Below are 6,000 nucleotides of genomic sequence, written 5' to 3' on the forward strand. Positions count from 1 at the left end.
CTGCCTCTCCTGGACAAACTCCCTTCTCTCAGCCGTGCTTGGCCCCTGCAAGTCTCCTCAAGCCCAGGACCCAGCACACTCCACCCGCAAACTCCGGGGTTTTCACAGCAGCCCCTGCAAGGTTTTGTTTTGTTTTGTTTTGTTTTTTTATCATCCCTGTTTCTCTACTGGAAAATCGAGATTTATAGAGAGAAGAGGTCATTCAAGCCAGGCACAGTGGCTCACGCCTGTAATCCCAGCATTTTGCAAGGCCAACATGGGAGGATTGCTTGAGCCCAGGAGCTCGAGACCAGCTTGGGCAACATAGTGAAACCCTATTTCTGTAAAAACAAAAACAAACACAAAATTAGCGAGACATTGGTGGTAAGCAACTGTGGTCCCACCTAGTTAGGAGGCTGGGGCAGGAGGATGGCTTGAGCCTGGGAGGCTGAGGCTGAAGTGAGCCGTCATCATGTGCTGTCACTGCACTCCAGCCTGGGCAACACAGCCAGACCCTGTCTTTTAAAAAAAAAAAAGTCATTCAAGTCCTCGTGCTTAGTATATGGCAAAGCTATACTTGAAACCAACTCCCTCGAACTCACACCTATGTTTTTCCCGCTGTGTTGAACCCTCCCACCCGCCCGGACCAGCTGAGCTGAGACCCCCTCCGTAGACGGATCCAGAGACTGAGGAACCAGGAACTGAGACAACCTGGCAGGAGGGCCCAGAAGAGAAAAGCAGGAAAGGGGCAGCCTCGGACTGCCTGGCCAGGGAGGGTCAAAAGCCGGGAATGGTGTCAATGTCCAGAGTGAAGTAATTGGTTAAATAAAGTGTGGCACAGGGACTCTTATGTCGCCACTGAAAGCAGCTTTTAATGCTCCAGCACAGACAAGTATTCAACATACACTGTGAAGTGAGAAGGGCAGGTTTCAGAACAGTTTGAGGCACACAGCATGCCGTTTGTCATAAGGGAAAAAGATCTTTGTGCAGATATATGCACAGACCCTGTCACCCCTTTGCCCAGTGTTGGTGACGAGGAAAAAAGATTTGGGGACCTTTTTCTCTGTATTGTCTGAACCCTATACAACAAACATATGCATCTTTAATCCTCAGAGGGGAGAAACCCAACAAAGCTATTTTCATTTGGAAAACAGAAAAGGAAACGACCCAATGGGTGAGACAGGGGCAATGCTGGGTGGGGGCCCTATCCTTAGATCACTCACTCGCCGCCACCCTGGTCTTTTGTCCTCAGAGTGTTTCTCCAGGCAGCAGATACTTGTACATAGTTGGGAGGGTGTCACCTTGGAATTCACTCTCCCCAATGCCCCTGACAGCCCCACACCTCCCTGGCCCACCCGCCACCCACTCCGGGCGTGATCAAAGGCCAAAGTGAAAACGAGATCTGAAACTTCAGCCTGGAAAAGCGATGATGCGCTGATGCCGGATAAGGAAGGATCACCGCTCACCAGCTGGATGCCCCCCCACCCCGGCGCCGCCCCTTCCCCCTCGGTCACTTCCCAGCCTGCAGCTCAGATCCTGTTTGGGGGAGGGCGGCAGCTACCAGGGGGCATGGCCCCAGAAACCCTCTCCCACCCTCTGTCCTAGAGCATGTTGAGGGGCCTGCCCTCTACTCTCCCCTCTACTGGCCTGTGTTCCTTGGGATTCAGGCGGTGTCTCTAGCAGCATCTGTAACTCCTCTGGTAGAGTTAGCAAGTTCCCGGAGAGAGGTAACCCATTACACCAGCTGGATGGAGTGATCAGGTCAGCAGCTGATGGGCTGGGACCTGGGACAAGTCAATGTAATGGGAACCAGGTGGCAGCTCCTGGGGCAGGGGGCGCTGGGGGGCGAGAGGAACCCTAGGGAGTTAGGAGGGGAGCCGTGAAGACAACTCCACAAAGCATCGTGGGAAGATCATGAGCCCCGGCACCAGAGCAGCCCAGTTGGAACCCCAGCCCCTCCACCCCTAGCTCTGGAACCTTGGGCAAGCCACACAACCTCTCTGATCCTCCTTGTAATCACTTGTGTAATGGGAATAATAATAGCAACAGCAACAGCTTCACCCCACAAACGGAGGGGTTCAATTTAGTGTATGCAAAGCTGCTGGTAATTGCTAATGGCTCAATTAATGGCGGCTGTTACCATTGTCAAACTTACAGAGGAAGAGACAGGCGGCCTAGAAGAACCATAGACTTTGTCTAGGATAGGTGAGATCAGGGGCTGAGTAGTCAGTGTCATCCTGGCCCACCCAATGGCTGGAGGAGGGGATGAGGACAGGAAGAGGAAGGGGAAGGGGAGGCACTGGGAGATGACAGAGATAAATATATGTCATGATCTTGCCCCATCTGGGTCACTGGCTGCACCCCAGGGGTGATGACTCACCTGCTGAGAAGTTCCCCACCCAGAGACTGGTCCCACAGGCTGTGGCTCGGCCCCACGGGCACAGCAGGCATGCATCGGGGAGGCCCATGGAGCAATGCCCAGGGTTACCCATCTGCTTGAGGGCTCAGGTACCCCCCTTTGACCTCTTCACACCCCCGTCCAAGCTGCAACCTAGAACCAGCCAGCTGGCTCTCCTGAGGCAGGGCAGGCCCAGAGAGATCAAAGAATTTGCTGGGGCCAGACAGCAAGGCCCGTGAGGTTTCATCCCATTCAAACCCAGAGACGTCAAGTCACTTGCCAGAGGTCACACAGCTTGGATGTGACAGAGTGGGGAAGCCCAAAGCTTGCCTGTAACAGCAGGCTGCCCGGAGTCCAGCTGGAGACTGGCACTGGCGTGAGCCTCAAGCCTTTTAATCCTAAGATCTGACAGCTGGGCAGCGCCCCAGAAAAGTGGCACTGTGGGCCCAGTGGGCCCTGGGGTGCTCAGAGGGGGCTTCCCAGAGGCTCCTGAGGAGTAGACTCAGGGAGCGTTTCCACAGCAGGCCTTGCTCTCGGGAGTGAGATATGGGCACTCTCACCTGACCACATGCCCTTGGGGGCTGGTCTCAGTGCTGGGTTCCCCAGGGGACTCCCCTTCCACCAGGAACTCCTCCCCCTTGCGCTCCCATTAAACCCAGATTCCCATTAAACCCCTATTTTAAACTCTCTGGCCTCTTCCAGGCAGCCTCCCTGCACCACTGTGCCTCCCTGAGCCATCTGACCCTCCACCCCAGGGCCCTGAAATCAGCATCTCTGCCCTCTGTGTGGCTGGGTAACTTCTCTGGTCTTCTTTTGTCTTTTTCTTCTGTGTGTGTGAGCATCATGTTTATTTCTTTTCTTTTCTTTCCCTTTTTTTTTTTGAGACAGCATCTTGCTCCGTTGCCCAGGCTGGAGTGCAGTGGTGTGATCTTGGCTCACTGCAACCTCCTCCTCCTTGGTTCAAGGGATTCTCCTGCATCAGCCTCCCTAGTAGCTGGGACTACAGGTGCCCACCACCACGTCTGGCTAATTTTTGTACTTTTGGTAGAGACAGGGTTTTGCCATGTTGGCCAGGCTGCTCTCAAACTCCTGACCTCAAGTAATCTGCCCGCCTCAGCCTCCCAAAGTGCTGGGATTACAGGCGTGAGCCACCGCGCCTGGCCGCATCATGGTTATTTCTTCATGGGTTTATCATTATGTGTGATGTGAGCTTAGAGCCTAGCTCTAAGCTCCCCAAAGGTGGTGACCGTATAATCATTTCCCACCCCCATTACCTAGGACAGGACTCTGGCCACAGTGGAGGGTCAGAAGATTTCAGCACACTCAAGAATAGCAGGTAGCAAGGCACCCAAGGCAGCTTTGCTGTAAGTGAAATTGACTCTTGACTTGCTAACCCGATATACTCAGGGGTAAAATCCACTCTACAGAAAGTCTTTGCTTTAGAGAAAGTTGCTCACAGGGGTTCTTTAAACAGCCAGGTCTCTTGGTACCTGCAAGATAGATTTATTTACAGATTTCCAACTTGCCTGGTCTGCTTGGAGCATCATGGGCTGGGTCCATGGCAAGCCCAGGAAGCCCACGCACCTGTCTGCCCTGTCCGCCTTTTGTGTGGTATTGAAGGCCTTTCCCAATCGAGCCCCAGCCTGCCTTTCATAACAGAAATAAAAGCTGACAGTGATCCTACAGGTTAACATTGACTGAGTGCCTCATGCATGAGGTCACCTGGCAGATGGGGTCACTTCATTCATTCTCCAGGTAACTCTGAAATGGGGTGTCAACTGTCATCTTCACTTTAGAGAGAGTGACAGAAAATCCAGGAAGTCCCAGAAGGAATCTGGGATTTGAGCCAGGCTGACCACCTGGCCCTTTGGGGCAGCCTCCCTCTCCTGACAGGCCAGCCAGCCTCTCTCCAAGCCAACACTATCATTGCTGACCACAAACCTTTGCACCCACCGTCCCCCTGCCTGTCCCTGGGCCCAGCTCCTACTTACCTTTCCAGACTCAGCTCAAATATCACCTCAACTCCACCACACAGAATTCATCCTGATGGCTCTGAGTTCAAATCTCTGTGTGGTGCCAAGGACGTGGCCTTGGTATTGTCCATGTCTGTTCCTCCTGCTGAATCAGGAGGAGTCCCGAACACTCAATCAGGATGTACTAAAATCATTCACCCAGGCCGGGTGCGGTGGCTCACACCTGTAATCCCAGCACTTTGGGAGGCTGAGGCAGGAGAATCGCGTGAGTCCAGGAGTTCGAGACCAGCTCTGGCAACACAGTGAGACCCCCTTTCTATGAAAAATTTACATATTAGCTGGATGTGGTGGTGCATGTTTGTAGTCCCAGCTACTTGGGAGGCTGAGGCGAGGGGATTGCTTGAGCCTGGGAGGTCGAGGCTGCAGTGAGCCATGATCATGCCACTGCACTCCTGCCTGGGTGACTGAGCAAGACCCTGTCTCAAAAAATAAACAAATAAAATAATTCACCTACTCAACTGATATTTATTGAACACCTACTATGTGCCAGGCATTGGGGTAAACAGGGTGGATAAGGCCTGAGCTCGCAGGGCACAAATCCAAGAGGGAGACACAGCAATACCCATGTCGGCTGACACATGAACAAGCTAATTTCAGACAGTGATAAATTGTATGAAGAAACAAAGTGAAGTTCTAGAGAGAACCTGAGCTGATAGGACTCTGGCTTTCACCAAAGCGAGTCGAGTCCTTCTCCCAGCCTGACCTGGCTTTCTCTCAAGACCAGCACATTTGTTACTCACTCATTCACTCACTCATTCATCCACTCATTCACTCGTTCATTCATTCACTCATTCACTCACTCATTCATTCATTCACCCATTCATTCACTCACTCATTTGCTCACTCATTCATTCACCCATTCATTCACTCATTCAATCATTTGTTCACTCATTCACTCATTCATTCACTCATTTACTTATTCATTCATTCATTCACTCACTCATTCACCCATTCACTCACTCATTCACCTATTCACTCACTCATTCACTCACTCATTCACCCATTCATTCACTCATTCACTCATTCATTCACCCATTCATTCACTCACTCATTCACTCACTCATTCACTCATTCACTCACTCATTCATTCACTCACTCACTCGCTCACTTATTCATTCACTCATTTACTCATTCATTCATTCACTCATTCACTGAGCACCCACGGTGCCAGGTGCTATCCTCCAACACCCTGGGGTCCCTGGGGAAGACAAACCTGCTCTGAGTGCCAGTGAATCCAGGGAGACTGAGGCTAGAGCAGGGAAGGAGGGGAACACGGGCGGGGGGGGGTGGCACTGCATGGTATAGAGCATTTCCACCCCCTCTGATCAGTCATGCTTCCTAATTCAATAAGGTGAGAAGAAGCATAATTTGATCATATTTGTTTTGCATCACTGCAAAAACAGAAAATGAAGGGCTGCAGAACCGCACCAATTTACTTCATCCGACCTTGATTAAAAGAAAATTAATTGTCGCATCTCTCAGGATATCACAGGCAGCAGCCAATGGCTCTCCAGGATACCACAAAGAGAGGGAAAGGGAGCGCAAGACGCCCCATGCCCTTTTCTCTAACCACTTCCAGCCCGGCTGGCA

The sequence above is a fragment of the Homo sapiens genome, chromosome 1 (genome assembly GCF_000001405.40).
Source record: "Homo sapiens chromosome 1, GRCh38.p14 Primary Assembly".
Taxonomy (NCBI): domain Eukaryota; kingdom Metazoa; phylum Chordata; class Mammalia; order Primates; family Hominidae; genus Homo; species Homo sapiens.